The 18,514-nt window shown below is 52.0% G+C and overlaps 1 protein-coding gene across 15 annotated transcripts in view, besides 3 other annotated features; it reads left to right on the forward strand.

Moving 5' to 3' along the window:
* COL27A1 (collagen type XXVII alpha 1 chain) overlaps positions 1–18,514 on the forward strand; it is a 158,414-nt gene that overhangs the window by 58,568 nt on the left and 81,332 nt on the right. For 14 of the 15 annotated variants that reach the window (XR_929860.4, XM_011519138.3, XM_047423992.1 and 11 more), the window contains 3 exons: positions 7,126–7,179; positions 9,558–9,602; positions 18,414–18,467. Coding sequence is in view for 14 of the 15 variants with exons in the window: in XM_011519138.3 (XP_011517440.1) it covers positions 7,126–7,179; positions 9,558–9,602; positions 18,414–18,467 (153 nt within the window). In the remaining variant the exon portion in view is untranslated. Of the gene's footprint in view, positions 1–7,125; positions 7,180–9,557; positions 9,603–10,151; positions 10,266–18,413; positions 18,468–18,514 lie in introns of those variants that run through there. The other variant, XM_011519145.4, reaches the window with a different exon arrangement.
* Positions 3,211–3,711: an enhancer, noted in NCBI's record as "H3K4me1 hESC enhancer chr9:116978156-116978656 (GRCh37/hg19 assembly coordinates)". NCBI's record gives its function as "activates a minimal SCP1, AML or CMV promoter by ChIP-STARR-seq in primed H9 embryonic stem cells {active_cell/tissue: H9 hESC(primed)}" and the evidence as "EXISTENCE:reporter gene assay evidence [ECO:0000049][PMID:30033119]".
* Positions 6,039–7,037: an enhancer, noted in NCBI's record as "H3K4me1 hESC enhancer chr9:116980984-116981982 (GRCh37/hg19 assembly coordinates)". NCBI's record gives its function as "activates a minimal SCP1, AML or CMV promoter by ChIP-STARR-seq in primed H9 embryonic stem cells {active_cell/tissue: H9 hESC(primed)}" and the evidence as "EXISTENCE:reporter gene assay evidence [ECO:0000049][PMID:30033119]".
* Positions 11,435–11,987: an enhancer, noted in NCBI's record as "NANOG hESC enhancer chr9:116986380-116986932 (GRCh37/hg19 assembly coordinates)". NCBI's record gives its function as "activates a minimal SCP1, AML or CMV promoter by ChIP-STARR-seq in primed H9 embryonic stem cells {active_cell/tissue: H9 hESC(primed)}" and the evidence as "EXISTENCE:reporter gene assay evidence [ECO:0000049][PMID:30033119]".

An 18,514-nucleotide genomic window follows, 5' to 3' on the forward strand; every position in this document is an offset into this window, starting at 1 on the left:
GGGAAGGAGCAGGCTTGGTTCAAATTTTCTGAACCACAGTTTTCTCTTCCGAGAAATGGGGACAATAGTATGGCTCATAAGACCATTGTGCTTGTCACATAGTAAGTGCTCAATAAATAGAGCCGCCCGGAATAAGGTTTCCTGGATGGCTGAGGGGATCTCTGTATTGTGTGACACTAAGCCAATGACTTCACCTTTGCTGGGTCTGGTTTCCCATGGTTTAAGTTGCAGAGTGGGAGGATTTGACTTGCTTAGGCGATCTCAGCTGGGCCCTGCCCCAACACTCAGGCCAGCCTCCAGGGCCACCTTTGGGGGATTTGTTCAGACACATCCTGGGAGCCTTACCAAGGGCCAGGCGTTGCTCCTTTACAGATGAGATCGCTTCTCGGAGAGGTAAATGATTAGGTCAAGGTCACATGGCTGCTCAGTGTCACAGTTGGATTAGAACACAACCAGAGCTTTCAACTCCAGTGCCAGAGTGTAGCTGTTTAGAGCTTGGGGTACGGAGTCTCCTGAGCATGGAAGAGGTAAGACCCATGAAAGCCTGGACATGTTATGGCCTCTTCTCCAACCGGACACAGCAAGGAATGTCAGCAGGGCCATGCCTCAGTTTCCCCCTTCTACTCCATCCTCTGCATCCTCCTCATCTCCCCTCCTGGCGGCCCCTTCATCCACCTTCTCCCTGCCATGTACCTGTGTTCTTCTTGGAGCACAAAGTTACCCTGTTCATGGCCTGGCTGAGAAGGCAGTCCCAGGTTTGAGGTCCCATTATCCTGCCTGTGTGAGATAAGGCCACTCATTCATTCCTCATTCAACCAAAGATTATTTGTTGAATATATTACTCTATGCCAGGCACTAAGGATAACACTGTAGCCAAAACAGACAAAAATCTCTGTTGTCATGAAGCTCAAATTTTAAGGGTAGAGACAATCAATAAACACGATGAATAACCAGAAGAAGGCATGGTTGCCACCCTAAGTCCCCTGCAAGTGAAAGGAAGCAACGAGTATTGAGGCCCTCGGTGTGCATAGTATTTGAACCACATGCGATTCTCCCAGTGAACCTTTAAGGCAAGATCGATTATCCCCATTTTCCAGATGAGAAAACTGAGGCTTAGACTGTCAAAGCCATTTGTCCATAGACACTCTGAGCCTTGCCAGACTGAGAACTTCTGTCTGCTTCCTTGCTTCTTGCCTTTAACTTTCTAAGACTAGGCTCTGATCTTCATGACAGGCGTGTTGTTCCCTGGCACTGGGGTGTCAGATGTGGGTGGAGGGAAACATCTTTTCAGCCCTAGACCTGTGCAATACCCTTGAGAGCCATGAAAATACCCTCAACTCTGTTCCAGCCACCATGGCCAGCAAATCGGCGAGATCTGCATCAGATATGATTTAATGTGTACGTAATGGGACTTCACATCGGCTGAGTCCCTACAGCTTGGTCTCTGTCTCCGCTGGGCCTCTGAGTCTGCCATGCCTCTCAGCCTAAAGACCCTGGACAGTCTTTAGGGCCATCCCTCTGTTGCTGTTGCTCCCAACCCCTTGATCTGTCTGGTAGGGTTGGGGGCTCCTGTCGTGAATGGTTTTTCCTCCTTATCCAAGCTTTAGGCCAGACAGTTTCTAGGCACTTATTAAGAAAAGGAAGTGACAGGGGAATGAGCTGAATTCCTTCATGCCAGATTGCAGCTGGCGTCATTTCTGGCAGGGCTGGTGATGATTTTGCTGTAGTCAGTCTTTCCCCAGCAGGCAAAACCTTGGGCCCGTGCATGCGGCCTCCTCAGTATCCAGTTTGGAAGGGTGATGTGTCAGAGTCTTTTACTAACGGGAGCTGAGGAAGAGACAGTGGAGGTCAAAGCACATCAGAGCTATAGGAACCTTCGTGATGGCCTGGCCCAAACTCTTTTTCAGACAGATAAGCAGACATAGCCCAGGGAGGGCAAGACACTTGCCTAAGATCTCACAGCAAGTTGTTGGCAAAGTCAAGACTTGAATCCAGAACACTTGCTTTCCAGGGCAAGGTACTCTCCACATGGCTCCCTCTTCTCTCTGCTCCCATCTTCAACCTCCAGAGGAAAGCTTGGTCCACAGCTCTCATCCCTCCTCATACCTCCTGCTAAGAGAACGTGTTGTGGTTTTCTGGCGAGGGGTCCAGGTGGAAAATGTTACCAACTTGGCTGGAGCTGAATGGCTTTCTCCTGGCCTGTCCTGGCTTGTTGGGCATGGCTCAGTATCACTCACAGTGAGAGACTGAGCCATGTTTCCCAGCCAAGGGTCTCTACGAGCAGGCTAGGAAGATGCTGCAGTGAGTCCTTCTACCTGTCTTCTCCAAATGTACTTTCAAGCCTGCTGGGATGGCCCTGCAAGGCAGGCCACCATGCACAGCTTTACTCACAGCCCCTGGCCAGGACTGCCAAGGCTGGCCTCATGCAGTGAGTCCGGAGGGAAGACCCTAAAGCTTAGAGCTGGAAGGGCCCAGCCCTGGCACCGACTCCCTGGGGTGTGGTTCAGGGATGACTGGGACCTGCCCAAGGCCGCGCAGTCCTCTGGGAGGAGGCAGGGCTTCTAACACAGTGCATTTGGGCTTCAAGTTCATGGCTCTTTCCAGTTCTCAGATTACAGGCAGCAAGCAGCCAAGTAACAGAGAATTCCTATTTCCAAGTAGGGAAATTGAGGCCAAAGCAGATTAAGGTTCTCAGCTGAGGTGATGCTGTGAGCTGGGGGTGTGGTCTCCAGTGACCCAGATGTGAACCAGAGCTGACCCAGGCTGTTGGTGCCCCTGGAATCCTGGAGAGAACTCTGCCTTCCTATTTTCTCCTTGTCCCCTGAGGCGACTTTTCTTGAGTAGATTTCCTAGTGGATTTCAGGAGGGCAGGGTAAAAACATGTTTAGACCACGAGAGAAAGGGGCTGGGAAAGTTCAGGGGTCTTTCCATGTCAGCACGCTTGGAGCCTGCACACCTAGAAAAGAATATGGCTGCTTCGAGTGCAGCAGGAAGGATGCAGGTTAGACTTAAGCAGGAACTTCCAGGCCTTGGAGAATGTCCACCTGGTAAGAAGTTCTCCAAGATCCTTTTGCGGGCTTCTCCTAGAGGTTATTAAATATTCCCACTCTTGATATAAACCCTAACTAGTGTAGTGATGGCACATTAGAGTTGACCAGGGGCTGCATTAGAAACATCTCACCGTTTCTTCAGCCCAGCCCTGCCAGGTGAGTGGGACAGTGCTGACTGTTTTGCAGGCCAGGGACCTGAGCCTTAGGAGCATGAGGGGGACTTTGGATTCTAGATGTTTCTTGCTTCTCTGCCCCTGTATCCTACCCGCTGGAGCACACGGTTGGGGTGGACACTTCCTGGAGGCAGAAGAGTGGAGGAGATGGCCTTCTGAGTTCTCCTTGGCATCCTGCTTTGGATGTGGTGGCGAGGACCGTCCCTGTCCTCAGCTCTATTCCTCTGAGTTGTTGTGGCCAAGAGAGAATGCAGAGTCTCACTCCTTAGCCTTGTTCTATCTCCTCTTGGGCCTTGTTCTGCTCCAAGTATGAAGTGTTCAGTTCTCCAGAGGGGCCCGACCTGGGAAAGTAGAGAAACCACGTGGCTGGGGCCCTGGCAGGGAGCCAAGCTCATTCCTTGGGCCTGGGGCCAGCCTGCTGCAGCCAGGAGCTCGGGCATGTGGAGGAAGGTCCCTGCTGCTGGCCAGGCTGGGCATGCATGCCATGTGGTCGCCTTACACATGCAGGCATGGCCAGAGAGAGGGAAGCAGATGGGGTTGAAGTGGGGGCTATACATTCCAGCTCAGCAGCCGCCACCCTAAGACCCAGGGAGCTCTGGGGTGACTGCTGGAAATGGCTCTGCCACTTAGTAGCGGAGGGATGAGGCAAGGTAGTGGGTGAGGGGGTCTTGGGTGTGTTCTGGGCTGCAGTCTCCCCATTGGTGTAATGAGGTGGTGAACATCAAGAACGTCTCGGGTCCTTTCATCCTTAGACCATCTGTGATTGTTCCAATCAGAGATTTGTTCCAGCACCTTTAAAGCTCTTTTTTCCAACCACTGTGCTCTTAATTACAAACCCTAGATTCCTAGAGGTCATCTGCTTGACCCCTCCATTGGAAGGGAGATTGAAGATGGAGACAGGGGTTGACTCCCGGAGGCCCTCAGCGTGTCCAAGCAGAACCAGTCCTCAGCATCAATCATGCCATTCCTTTTTGCACATTAGCTCAGGGCTCTAATGAGCCCTCGGAGAGCCTGTAGGCTGGTTCTAGTTCATCTGTTCATTCAGTGTCCAGTTGTAGCTAAGAGAACAGCTTCTGGAGTCACACTGCCTAGGTTCGAATCTCATCTCTGCTATGCCAGGGCTGTGTGACTTTGGAAACATTTCCTAGCCTTTCAGAATCACAGTTTCCTCATCTCAAAAATGCAGCCAATAATAGGACCTGTTGGGTGGTCACGCTGTTGGGGTTTACTGTTGCTATGATTGTTTCATCCCACCATCATCGCCCTCTGGCTAGACTCAGGCTGCATTTTGTCTGCAGAGGTTACTCCCCTCCAGAAACTGACTCAAAATTCTGATGACCGTCTCTCCCTTGCTTATACCTCAGAGACATTCCCTCACATGGCTGAGGCCTCCCATGTGGCAGTGAGGCACCCTCACTGAGGCACCCTTCATGTGGCATCTCAGCTCATCCTCACAGCACTCCCTTTTGGATGGCAAAGAGAACTGAGGCCCCAAGAGGCCTGTGGGTGGTGCAGTCAGGACTGTCTTGGGGCAGGCTGGCCAGCCTGGAATGGCCTCTGAATGCAGACCCATGGGTCTGAGACCTGCCTGGCAGCTGCTGTATGTGAATATATTGGGCATCACAGGGTCCTAAAGGATCCTTAGAGATCACACACCTCCAACCTGAGCAGGACAGAGGGTCAAGTGTGGGGGCCTGCCCAAGGTCAGACAGCCAGCCTAGAGGAGAGCCAGGGCTCATCTGCAGGCCATCTCCATATGCTGGACTTGGAGAACAGGGCAGGACTACAAGTTCTGTCCCTTGTAGGCCATGTGGAGTCAGCCAGGTGCCCAGCCAGACAACATTGCCCTTGTCTCAAGGAGTTGCTTTCCTCTCCTACCAGGTCCTTCTACCCCAAAGTTCAGAGGCCAGAGGTGGGAACTCAATGCCTTCAGAAGGTGCCCTGGCTGGACGCCATGGCTCACACCTGTAATCCCAACACTTTGGGAGGCCAAGGCAGGCAGATCGCTTGAGCCCAGGAGTTCGAGACCAGCTTGGGCAACATGGAGAAACCCCATCTTTACCAAAAATACAAAAATTAGCCAGGTGTAGTGGTGTGCATCTGTAATCCCAGCTACTTGGGAGGCTGAGGCGGCAGGATCACTAGGAGGCAGAGGTTGCAGTGAGCAGTTATCACACCACTGCACTTCAGCCTGGATGACAGAGTGAGACCCTGTATCATGAAAAAAAAAGAAGGATCCCCTGGACACAGCCCACCTGGCTGATTCTTGTCCCAGGAGGTGAGACGATCTACCTTCAGCATGACCAAGAAGAGCTGGTTTAGGTGAGACTGGAATTTACCAGGGGAGACCCTAAAGATGTGGGGGAGGAAGCTTGGGTAAGGTCAGATATGCCCCCACAAAGACATGATCTGGAAACACACACACACCCTCCCCTGCCACACTCCTCTGCCACCCTCTGCAACCAGTTGGACACGCGTTTGAGCAGCTTCTACATACCAGGCTTTGCCCGTGCATAGCTCATATGAACATGCCAAACTCCAGAGGTGGACCTGGGCTCTGCTTGCTTTATGACCTTGGCCATGTGATGTTGCCTAACCGAGTCTCAATTTTCCCATCTGTGAAATGGGACTGATAACTTTTCCCTCAAAGATAGATATCAAATGCAAAATGAAGTCTTGCATGCAAAGTGACTACCTTGGTCTGAATTTCATTATCGTCTTCTCGTTTCCTCCTTTTGGTGTCTGAATGAAGCCACACCTTCTATGGGGTGAATGTCAATCCAAGAGGACTTCCTGGCAGGGGAGAGATTTAAAGGGAGTAGGGCTGCGGGGCAGGGCCAGGCTAAACACCTGGTTACATACACACATTTCAAGGTGTCTTTGCCTAACCAGTAGAGACTTTGGTTTGGGTTTTGTTTGTAGGTTTGGTCTTTTGGGTTTAGTGTACTCACTGGACTCCTCCAGTAGTATTAGAAACCGAAAACAGGATCATCCTCCATGAGGAATGTTTACCATTTGAATCATAGCCCCAGCATTCACTTGGTCAGGAAAACATGTGCTTTGTTTTTTTTTTTTTTTAATTACATTTCCCTGGAAAAACAATGATTTGAATTCAAGGAGGGGAGGAGAACAGGTTTCCCCCAACTCCAAGCTTGAGGACTTTCTTTTCCTTTTGAAGTAGGAATGGAGTTCTGTCCCCGGCCCCCGAAGGCGTCCTTACAGCTGATATTTTTCCAGCTGCCTATCTCCCCAGAGCGTGGAGCGGCCTCCAGAGTGGGGTCAGGGATGGGGCGAGAGGGCCAGACCTGCCTGGGCCGGGCAGCTCAGCATCTCTCTGAGCTGCTGAACACCTATGGAGGCTGTGCTCATGTTCACTGGTGGTGTGACTTTGTGTGACCTTGCCACTTCACTCTTTCACAGCCTCGTTTCCTTTATCTGTCAAATGGGGATCATGAGTTCACTGGGTGGCTTTTGAAGAACGTGCCACAATCAGAGAAGGTCTGAGCTGGGAAATGCAACAGAGGCCTTCTCCTCCTTGACCAGTGGGGAAACAGAGGCTCTTAAAACTGGCATAGATCCAGCTTCCTGCCCCTAGTCTCTGTCTTTCCCATTCCATCAGGACCAGATCTCAGAATAGGGGATTGGCATTTTCATGCTGGGGAGCTGGGTATCATTTTCTTTTCAGAGACTTAGTAGAAAATAAAAGGATCCCTGAGAAATTCTTTATGTTCAGGTGCTTGTCGATGGTAGGGGTGACCTCAGGACCGCACTGTCTGCCCATGACCAAGGAGTGAGACTGCTTGGACATTGTCCTTGTGTCCCCCCTGGGGGTCTGGATCAAAGCCCACCCTGAAGGTGACAACACTAACCTACAGATGTTTGTTCTCTCTCATGCCCTCCAGGGGTTTCCTGGAGTCTTTGGGGAAAGAGGCCCTCCTGGACTGGATGGAAATCCTGTGAGTATTTCAAGTCTTTGGGAACAGGAGCGAGATTCTGAGTGAACACACAGCAGATTTTAGGAGCCCACGCTTTAGGGTCAGACAGACCTGGGTCAAATCCCAGCCCTGTGAAGTACCAGCTGGGCACCCTTGGACAAATTACATGACGTCTCTAAACGCTAGGCTCCTGTCTACTGCGGCTGCACCGTCGCCCCCCTGTAAGAGTCCCCAGCCCACTGAGCCCCTGGGTCCAAAGCTCCAGGCTGCACCCCATTTCCAGGACTTTGGAAGGTTCATGGGTCACTCCCCACTGGAGAGGCCCCAGCTGCTGCCATCTTACACAGCATCAGCAATGTTTATGGGCCGGCAGAGGCATGGGGAAGCAAACGGTCTGCAGGCCGTGTTTGGAGAAAAGGAAGAGCTGAGTTCCAAAGGAATCTCCACCACAGGCATGTTTATAGAGTTTGTAAATAATTAGAGGCCCAGGCTCTGTTCCCCGAGGAGCCAGGTCAGCCTGCCCTGGGGAGCCGAGTCTGTCTTTCCCTTCCCAGCTCCAGGCCCTGGTGGGAGAAGGTGTTCATGGTTCCCCATCTCCCCCTGGGGCTTCCTGCCTGAGCAGCTGTGCCAGCTGTGCCCTCTGCAGTGGTGGCTGCTGCGTTCATAACCAGCACCCGATTAGGCGCTAATTCAGTTCCACAAATGCTCCCTGAGCCTGACCCAGCCAGGCTCCCTTGGGGATTATAGCCTTGACCTCAGAACCCTGCGGACCTGGGTTTGAATTTTGTTGTACCACTTGTCAGGTGTGTGAGCTTGGAAAAATCCATTCACCTCCCTGAATCTCAGTTTCCTTGTCTGCAAATTGGGGGGATCAGAATTCCAGCCTGAGGCCGGGCGCAGTGGCTCACGTCTGTAATCCCAGCACTTTGGGAGGCCGAGGCGGCTAGATCACTTGAGGCCAGGAGTTCAAGACCACCCTGGCCAACATGGCAAAACCCCGTCTCTACTAAAAATACAAAAAATTAGCTGGGCGTGGTGGCAGGCATCTGTAATCCCAGGTACTTGGGAGGCTGATGGGGGAGAATTGCTTGAACCCAGGAGGTGGAGGTTGCAGTGAGCCAAGATCACGCCACTACACTCCAGCCTGGGCAAGAGAGTGAGACTCTGTCTCAAAAAAAAAAAAAAAAAAGAAGCCGTTGTGAGAATGACAGGAGGGCAGCCAAGGTGTTGCCTCATCACACAGGTTCAGTGGGTGAGGCTGTGTAAAATACTGGGTAATCCGGGGTATAGTCCTGCCTTTGAGGAGTTCATGGGCCATTGCCCTCCTCTGTCACACAACAGGCAGTGGGATGGGTGGGATCAGAGAGGTCCCAGGTGCCTCTTTGGAGAAGGGAACAGGGAAGTAACATTTGCATTGGGATGAGGAGATAGGTGGGGAGACATTGCAGGTGGAGGAAGGGGCACCAGCAAAGGCATGGGGTGAGGGGAAACCAGAGCCTCTCCCTCAATACAGCATTTGTTAGATTAACTATTAGCGATATGCAGTATCATTCTGCGAGTTTCCTTGGCGAGCGGCAGGGATGTCTTTATGCTGCTGGCATAGAGGAACAGAAAAGACCTGATGTCCATTTCTTCCTCTCATTTGAAGTGAAGGCTGTTGCTTACTTCTCATTGCTAATTACAATGTCTAGAGCCCTGGAGTTTTATTCTCACTTTTCCATTTTGAACTTGACTCAAACCCTTCCACCTGTCATTTCTCATGTGGGCCATGGAAGATCCATGTTTAAGACGAGAAAACTGAGGTATAGGGGGATAAATCACACACACAGCCTCGTCTCCTGACTCCCAGGCTAGAACTCTTTCCAGTCTCTGGGGGCCCCTGGAAGAAGGAAATGTGAGGGTGTGGGGTGCTGGGGAGGATTCTCCAAGGGCCACAGCACCTCCCGGCTGAGAAAGGGAAGGAGGCTGGCTTAGAGGCTCTCAGCTTGGAGCCCTCATGGCTTTGTCATTTCCTTGCACCTGGCCTTGGGTGAATCACTTAACCTCTGGAGCTTCAGTTTTCCTGTCTGTAAAATGAGCGTGAAATGTCAAGCACCATGCACGTCTGTATGACCTTGATCGCGATTCCGCTCCTTCCTTTATGCTTCCAATGGGAAGATACTGGATTTGGAAGTCCGACCTCCCCATTTGACAGATGTGGAAAGCTGATGGCAGAGAGGGGATGGCTGTGGTCCAAACTCCAGGCCAGGCTCAGGAAAGTCGCTGGAGCCTGTGGTCAGGAATAAGGAGTGTTCAGCTCTGAAAGACCCCACCAGGTGCCTGTGTGGAGGATGACATGGAGGGAGGGGCCCTGGAGGGAGATGGGACAAGTAACCACCTTGGTCTCTCTCTATCTGCAGGGAGAACTGGGCCTGCCAGGCCCCCCTGGAGTCCCCGGCCTCATTGTAAGTACATTGATGCCTGGGGCAGCAGGTGGGTGTTGAGGAGACTCAGGGTGGAGCCAGCGTGTGGGGAGCCAGGAGCAGGCCCTGCAGGGGAGGTTGAAAAGACCCTTCTCTCATCAAACCCCCAGAGGGGCTGGGGGGCCAGGAGAGACCAACCTGGGTGAGGAAGGTGGGTAGGGGAAGGTGGGTAGGGGAGGGCGGGCGGCTGAGGGAGGAGAGCCCTGCTGTGTGGCCTCAGGTGGATCACCTTCTCTGAGCCTGTTTCCTTATTAGTTAAATGAGATGAGCACTTGGAACACAAGATTGCCAAAGCCCTTTCACACCTGCTGCGTGCATGGCCGTTGCTCTGCAAGGAGGTGTGGGCAAGTGGTGATGGCATACTTATTTCACAAGCGAGGTGTTCCAGGTCCAGAGGGAGAAGGTAGCTGGCAGGGTGGTCTTTTGCACTCTTTTCCTCCAAGCAGACTTTGGAGCCAGACCACCTAGGTTCAAGTCACAGACCCACCACATCCTGGCTGTGTGACCTGGGCCAAGCCACTTACCTTCTCTGGGCCTAGTTTCCTCATCTGTGAAATAGAGGTGATAGCAGAATCATCCTGGAGTGGCCATGAGGATTAAAGGAGGCATCATATGTGTAGTCCTTGGCACAGGATCTGGCACCCAGTAAGTGCTAGTGGAAAATATTGTTATAATAATTCTTGTTATTACCTCCTGAAATGCCCAGGACTGAGAGAGGCCTATACACGAGGAGGTGGGAGGCGATCTGACCTGACTCCATCCAGGTGGTGTAGGCCTCGAGGAGTGGTTCTAGCCAAAGCCAGGGCCCCTGCTGCGCTTTCAGTGGAATGAGTGTTAACCTTGGGCCCAGCCGCAGGGGCCAGTGAGAGGTCAGAGCCTGGGAAATGACACTCCAAGTGTCCCCATAATCTGATGCCCCCTCCGCCCTGTCCATTGGGTCATTCCTCATGGGGTTTGAGTTTGGGGGCCCGTGGAGGGACACAAGTAAACTATCTGCTAGCTTGACAAATGAGCTTCCAGCTTTACCACTCCAGCAACTGTACTGAGAAATTCTGCTCAGAGGGAGGCTGGAGGAGGTCCCTGAGGGAGGCAGGGAACCCCATCGCTCAGGGAAGGCCAGTCCTGGGAAGAAGGCCCAGATGTCCCCGTGGCCATCTGTGCCTGCTCAGGTGAGTGGGAGCAGAACCTGGGTGGGGTGGGCAGGAGGTGAGAGCTCTCTGTGTCTGAATCCTGACTTTGCTACCTCCTGACTGAACTTCACCTTGGCCTCACTTCCCTGAGCCTCAGGGATCCCCTCTGTGAAATGGGATCATTGTATCCACTCTTATTAGAACCACAGAAACACACAGTCCATTCCAGTCCAGTGGCTAAGAGAACAGTTTCTGGAACCAGACCACCTAGGTTCAAATCCTAGCTCTACCACTCATGTAATCACAATCCTGAGCAAAATTTTTAACCACCCTATGCCTCGGTTTCTTCATCTGTAAAATGGGAACAATAGTGGTACCTAACTTGGAGGATTGTTGTGAGTGAGGATGTAGATAAATTAATATGTGAAGTGCCTAGTATGTAGTAAGCACTCAAGAAGTACTAGTTATGATAATAATAGCTATTGTTGGTGTTATTATATTACACACACGTGATATTTTACACCTGGTAGCAGCTATCCGGGTTACTGAATTGACAAAAATTTCACAGTCACATTGGAACTTGGTGGGAGAGAGTGCTGCAATTGATAAGTGATGTCTGCCTTGGCTGGGGTTGAGGAAGTGTCAACACATGAGTCATAAATTTGTCATCCCTGATGTCCATTCAGTAGGACTTTGCTGAGCACCTTCTTTGGCACAAGGCATTGACCTAAATGCTTTGGAAAAAGAAATATCTGCCATGGGAATTCGAGAACTCTCTAGAAGTCTTCTAATCTGACCCTCTCTAAGCCCAACAGGAATCCCTTCTGGAGCATCTTGGTCATATGGTGATTAAACTCCAAATTGAACACCTCCAGTGCAAAAAGTCCCTCCCTCTGTGGGAGCCTAGTCCATTCTACAGAGCTCTCTTTGTTTGGAGTTTTCCTGTGGATGGAGCCCGAGTCGTCCTCACTGTCCCTGAGTGAGGCTGTTTGAGGTGTAAAATGGTCTTTGTCTGTGCTTCCCAGGGCTCCTTCTTCAGGCTAAACAATTCCCATCCCAAAGCCTTTCTGAAGGGATGTTTACATATCCTGTCTGTCATCCTTGGCACATGTTCCTATTTGTCATCATCCCAGCGTTCACTAGGTTGGGTCCTGAGAGGAGCAAGAATATTGCTTAGTGGAATAAACACAGATTGTGGGGTTTTGGACTATAGCATCATAGCCCTCCTGGTTCTTTTTTTTTTTTTTTTTTTTTTGAGACAGGGTCTCACTGTGTCTTCCAGGCTGGAGTTCAGTGGTGCAGTCTTGGCTCACTGCAGCCTCTGCCTCTTGGGCTCAAGTGATCCTCCCACCTCAGCCTCCCAAGTAGCTGGGACAACAGGTGTGTACCATGATGCCCAGCTAATTTTAGTATTTTCTTTTTGTAGAGACAGGATTTCGCCACATTGCCCAGGCTGGTCTCCAACTCCTGGGCTCAAGCGATCTGCCCACCTCGACCTCCCAAAGTGCTGGTACCTCCTGGTTCTTTAAAAGGTCATTCTTACCTGTGCTCTCCGCTGCACTCCACTGTTAAGGTTGCCAGATAAAATATGACACCTAGTTAAATTTGAATGTCAGATGCAATATTTAGAACACATTTATACTAAAATGTCACTCATTGTTTATCTGATATTCAAATTTAACTGGGCATCCTGTCTTTTTAATTGTCCAGTCTGGCAACGCTATTTGCAGTGTCTCTTAGGAGAAACCCTTTCGGCAAATGGGAAAACTGAGGCCCTTGGTCAAGGTCACATACCTGGCAGGTGAGGATGGGGGCCATGAATCTCAAGTCCTAGTCCAGGGCACTCCTCTTTTTGCTTCTGAGCAGCCTGCACTGGGGGCAGAGCCCTGGGACTTTCTGCATTTCATGGTACCCCCTTTTCCCAGAGCTGATTTGTTCTGCCTTGTGGTTCCTTCATGCTGTGTCTTTTTTTGGCCACTTTCAGCCTCCTTCCTCAGTTTTTAGATTCTTTTCACTGCCAAGATGAAGTGTCCTCTCTCCTGTAACTGGGGGATCACAGGGCTGGGCCTGAGCCCATCAAATCACCTCTGCTCCCTGAGCAAATGCCTCCTTCCACCCTGGATTTTTGGGAACAGCAGCTTCTGTGCCTGGGGAAAAAAACTGTCTCCCCAAAGAGCTGGAAAGGAAAGGAATTTTCTAACCAGAAGTTAAAGAGGAAGAGGGATTGTGAGTCACCTACGGTTTTCCAGAGGATGTGGGTTTTTAGCTGAGCAAATGGGAATTCCATGTATTGATAATCATTTTAGTGGAAATTCAAATTTATTCAATGCCTCTGTCTAGTCAGTTGAAGCAATTTGCATGCAGACTGAAGCCAAACCTTCCTTCCGTCCCCCGGGTCCCTGCAGCCGGGAGGAAGGGCGTGAGAGGACAAACTAACATTTATTGAGCGTCTGTCTGCTATGTGTGCAACACATGCACTGGGCTGGGGAGGCCTTGCGAAGCCGAGGTCACCAGTTAGAGAGTGGAAGTGTCGGGCTTGTCACCTGGGTCCATATGCCTCAATTCCAGTGAGCCACCGGTGGCTCCCTGCAGCCTCAGAGGTGAGAGGGCCTCCACACAGCCCTCTTTGAGTAACTGAAACCCTTTGGCAGGCCCTCAAGAAAACTGTGCCTGATTCCAGAATCTGCTCAACAAAGACGATTTCTGTCCTTTTTATTCAGAGTGACACAGAGGAAATTTTGGCTCCTCCACAATTTAATGAGACCCAAAGAACATGTGATCTGGCCACAAACCCAGCATGTGAGGGGCAATGGATTTGTCCACCTTATTCTGCCACTAAATGATCACCTGCCTTTGTTTCCTTGTCTGTAAAGCAAAGTTAGATACCCCACCACCTGGCATGCACCAAACCCTCTTGTGCCCAACGCTGTGCCAAGTTTTTAGTTGTCACAACAGCCCTCTGAGGGTAGGAAGTGGGGCCACCAATTTACACTTAAGGAAACTGAGCCTCAGAGAGGGTGAAGCACCTGCCCAAGGTCACACAGCCAATCAGCTGGACCTGGCCTGTCACAGCTCACACTCTCCACTGTTGTACTATATCCCCAGCTCCTCAAGACTTCTGTGCTGAACAGAGATAGCGTGTATGTGACAGCATGGACTGGGCAGTGCCAGGGCTGTTCTGGTGTGACAGATGGTGCTTAGTAAGACCACACAGCAGCCAGAACTGACCACAGCTCCAGGTCCCTGTCCCGAACCCGCCTGGCATTGTTGGCCTTCAAAGGCAGTCCTCAGAGGGATTATAAGTGAGCGTGTTTAGCTTTCTTTTTCACCATCATTAAGCCACTTTTACCAAGCACCTCCTCAGAGCTGTGCCCTGTGCTAGGCACTGGGATCACAGAGGTGAGGTCCTCAGAGCAGGCACCTGCCTTTGGTCTGGGGGCAGCACAGGTGGTGGCCCCATAGGCACACGCAGAAAGGATGGTCAGTGTCAGAAGGGCCCTGAGCGAGAGGCATGGGGCTCTGAGGCCTGACAGCAGGGGCATGACCTGGTCTTGGGGTCAGGGAAGTGATGTTAGTGCTGGAGGCCGAAGGACAAATGGGCATTAACAATGCCAGTGGCGGGCATGGCACTCCGGGTATAGGAAACAGCTTGAGCCAGGGTCGGGGAGATATGTCAGTGGCTAAGTATGTCACAGCTAAGGAGGAAGAGCAGGGCAGGAAGGTGAGATGTGTGAGCAACCATCATGAAGGATGGGCACCAGCCGTTCCCCACATTAGCCTCCGGAGGTCCACTGGCTGGCAGTCAGGGGAGCACAACTCAATTTTTCTGAGTCTCCAACCTGACCTGATGCCCTGTCTCATGTGAGACATAGCAATAGGAAAGGCAACCTTGAGTGTTTTTTTTTTTTTTTTTGGTCAACAGCCAACTCAGGCCTTGTGAGCATGGACTGTGGGGTCAGACAGACAGACAGATGGATGGACAGACCTGGGTTCTGGTCCTGCCTCTGCCCCCTGTTTATTGCTCGATCTCAGGCAGGTTACATCACCTGTCCCTAAGCCTCAGTTTTCCCATCTGTAAAAGGGAGTGGGACTGACAATGGTGCTTACCTCCTGGGGTTACTGTGAGCAGCTGGTGAGGGTCCAAGCCACCAGCATCGTCCCTGGCATGGCAAAGGTGCCCAGAGTGACATTTAGCTATTGCTAAGGAGGGTTCAAAGTGGATAGCGTGCATCTGGCACACAGTGGGCGTTCTTTAAATGGTGACAGACAGGACCGATTGTGTTCTTGGTGGGAGTCAGTGAGACGAAGGGCACAGCGTGTGGTGCGGTGTCTGGGAGCTTAGAGAAAAGTGGAAACAGGTTCCAAATTAAGGGACTTACTCATTATTCTTTTTCATGGGGACATGACATTCTGAGTGGCTCCGGCCAAGCTGGCCTCGAGGGCGTCTGGTACACAGTAGACGGCTGCTCTGCAAGCTGCCCTCGGGGGATGCTGGCCTGGAGTTTTCTTTGTTCCTCCCGGAAATGCTTTTGTAGCCCAATGTGGGGGTCCCACCAACACAGGGGGACCTGTCCTATGCGAGCTGGCACCTTCTCCGGGTGTGGCCTGCAGGCAGGGGTCTCTCTTCCAGATTCCTTCTCCCCTGGGGTTGCCCATGCCCATGGGATGCCCATGGCAGGTCCCTGCCCCCACCACACACAGACCCCTTTGGAGAGCCCTGCTGAGGCAGCGAGTGGGACCTGGGGAGTGGGGTGCTGCGCCGTGACTCCCCGAGGCCCCACAAAGGTGACCATCCTGCCTGCACTGAATTCAGTCCCACACAACAAGCCACTTCAGGCCTGGAGGGAGGAAGAAAGAGCCTGTGTTTCTGAGCTGCTGGCGGCCCCTCTGCCTGCCGCCCTGCCTGGCCCCCGGCAGAGAAAGACTCCTCCAGCAGAGCCCGCCTCTGTTTATTTGTGCATCAGGGGGAACTCTGGGCGGGCCACCCTGGCTGCCTTCGTCCAGGAAAGGAGAGAAGCAGCAGCCAGAGGGGCCTGTGGACATGCAGCTCTCTGCAGAGAGCTGGCCTCCCTTCCAATCCGGCTTCTCTCCCTCCTCTCCAGAGACCACCTCAGAATGGCCTAGAAGCTCTGGAGACAGGCTGCCTAGTGTGAATCCCAGCGGTGCCCCGACTCCGTGATATCGCTGGAGCCCTAACCTCTCAGAGCCTCAGTTTCCTCATCTATGAAATGGGGACAGTAGTAGACTGATCTTCATGGGCTGTGGTGAGGAATTACTGGGTTAAAGCACGTCAAGTGCTTAGCACAGTGCTGGCAACTGGCATTTGCTTATTATTATCACCCGTTAAACTGAGCCCTCACTTTCTCAGTGAGACTGTTTGATGGGACCTGAAAGCAGAATTTCTTTCTCTCTCTTTTTTTTTCAAAGATAGGGTCTCTTTCTGTCGCCCAGGCTGGAGTTCAATGACGCTATCACAGCTCACTGTAACCTTGAACTCCTGGGCTCAAGGGATCCACCTGCTTCAGCCTCCCGAGTAGCTGGTACCACAGGCATGCATCACCATGTCCAGCTAATTTTTAAATATTTTCTGTAGAGATTGAGTCTCCCTATGTTGCCCAGGCTGGTCTTGAACTCCTGGCCTCAAGCAATCCTCCTACTTAGGCTTCCCAAAGTGCTGGGATTATAGGCATGAGCCATGGCGCCACGCTGGGCCTGAAAGCAGAATTTCTTAGCAAAGGCTCAGCTGGGAGGTTTTGTTTAATCCAATCAGATGGGAATCCTAAAGTCCAGAAAGGGGAAGCATTTGCCCAAGATCACACAGGTCAGGATGGGCCAAGGCCAGACTCCAGTTGTTCTGGGGTTGGGAGAGTGAGAATCGGCATCATCTCAGGCAGGCTGAGCTGCCATCTGCAAACTCCATGCCGTCTGTCTGTCTGTCTCTCTCTCTCCTCGGGGGCATTCCATCACATAGTCCCCTTGGCCCTTCCTCCAGGAGCCAGGGAGGAATGTGATTTTTCATTCTCTGCCTGGCCTCCCTCCGAGACGTCTCCAGGCAGCTCCGACAAGAACTCCAGTTCCCATTCTTGAGCCTGGCTACTGGGGCAGCCTTTGTTCCTCCAATGCTTCAGAGCTGTGCCCCCACCTCAGAGCACTTGCCAGGGGCCTCTGTAGAGCCTGATCGGGTAGCAGGAAACAGAGGCCCAGAGAGGTTGGGCACATTGAAACCACACAGCAGCCAGACACTCAGATCAGTCATGGAGGATGGACAAGGGAGAGAGGAGGGTATTTTCAGGGTCTCCCTTTCTCTGAGTGCAGACTTAATGTTATGGTTGTGGCTGAGGGAGTGATGGAGTGGGCAGAAGTGAGATTTGAGGGAGAAAGCGTAGGCTGGTTAAGAGAAAAGTCAGCCGCTTCTTCACTCTGTACCAGGGTTCCTGGACCTTGGCACTACTGACATTTGGGCTGGATGGTTATTCGTGGCGGGGGCTGTTCTGTGCACTGCAGCATGCTCAGCCACATCCCTGGCCTCTGCCTACCAGACGCCAATAGCACCTCTTAAGTTGTGACAACTAAAAATGCCTCCAGACATTGCTAAGTATTTACATGTGAAATCAGTTTCTCCTGGAAACAAGGCTGGCAGGTACACAGTATTGTACGTCCTCACTTGTCACATGAAGAAACCGAGGCATGGAGACATCAAGTTCCTCCAGTTCACACAATGAGTGAGTCCCAGAGGAGAGTGGGATCCAGTGGTCTGCTGTCCACTGGGTGGACAGGGAATGAAAAATCACATTCCTGCCTGGCTCCTGCTGGAAGGGCCACGGGGCCTGTGCAGTGGAATGCCCCTGGGGAGAGAGACAGAGGGACGGTGTGGAGTTTGCAGACGGCAGCTCAGCCTGGCTGAGTGCTTCCCAGAGCCTTCCTTGCAGAGGAAGGAAGGCTTTGGAAAGGACAGGAGGGGCGTCATGGGGACAGCACTCAGCCAGGCTGAGCTGTCATCTGCAAACTGCACACCCGCAAAGAGAACTTGGCTTTCTAGGTCGGGAACTCCATTTTTCTCACCTTGGACCGGCTGATCTGATCTGAAGCTGGGTCTCCAACCTGTGGTCCAGGATCTGCCAGCTGATTATAGTGTCCCACAGGGTCCACCATCAACCCTGGGATTTCTGGGATCAACAGCCTCACTCCTTACTTGCTGCCCTCCTCAGAGAGAGCCAAGCCTCTGGGAAGCAGGAGGTGCCTCCCCTCATGTAGCCAGAGGAGTCAGAACTTCCATTTATGCTGAATTTAACTCTTACAGCAGCTCCGGGGGGACAGATAGAGAGAAAGCATGAGGGTCCAAAATAGTCAAATGAAAAGCCCTTTATCCCTGATACGGGGTAAAGAATCAGATATAGGAGAGAAATATTGAATATGGAAAGGAATGGGGATAGGGAAGGGGCAGCAGTCTAGAAATGAGCTTGGGCAGGGATCTTTATGAAGTTTATTCCAGCACTTTAGTGAAGGTCTCTGGATGAAGAACATTCCAGATTCCAAGATCAATCCTACAGAGTTGCGTCTTTGGAAGCCCAGGCCCAGGGACCTTGGGGATTGTCCCCACCACCCAGGCCAGCCTCCTGTGGGCCACTGCTCACAGCACCCTCTTCTCTTTCTCTCCCCACAGGGTGACTTAGGAGTGTTGGGTCCGATTGGCTACCCGGGACCCAAGGGCATGAAGGTAAGCAAGGGATGTTCCCCCGATTCAGGCCTTGTCCAAGCTGGGCA

The sequence above is a fragment of the Homo sapiens genome, chromosome 9 (assembly GCF_000001405.40).
Source record: "Homo sapiens chromosome 9, GRCh38.p14 Primary Assembly".
Classification (NCBI taxonomy): Eukaryota; Metazoa; Chordata; class Mammalia; order Primates; family Hominidae; genus Homo; species Homo sapiens.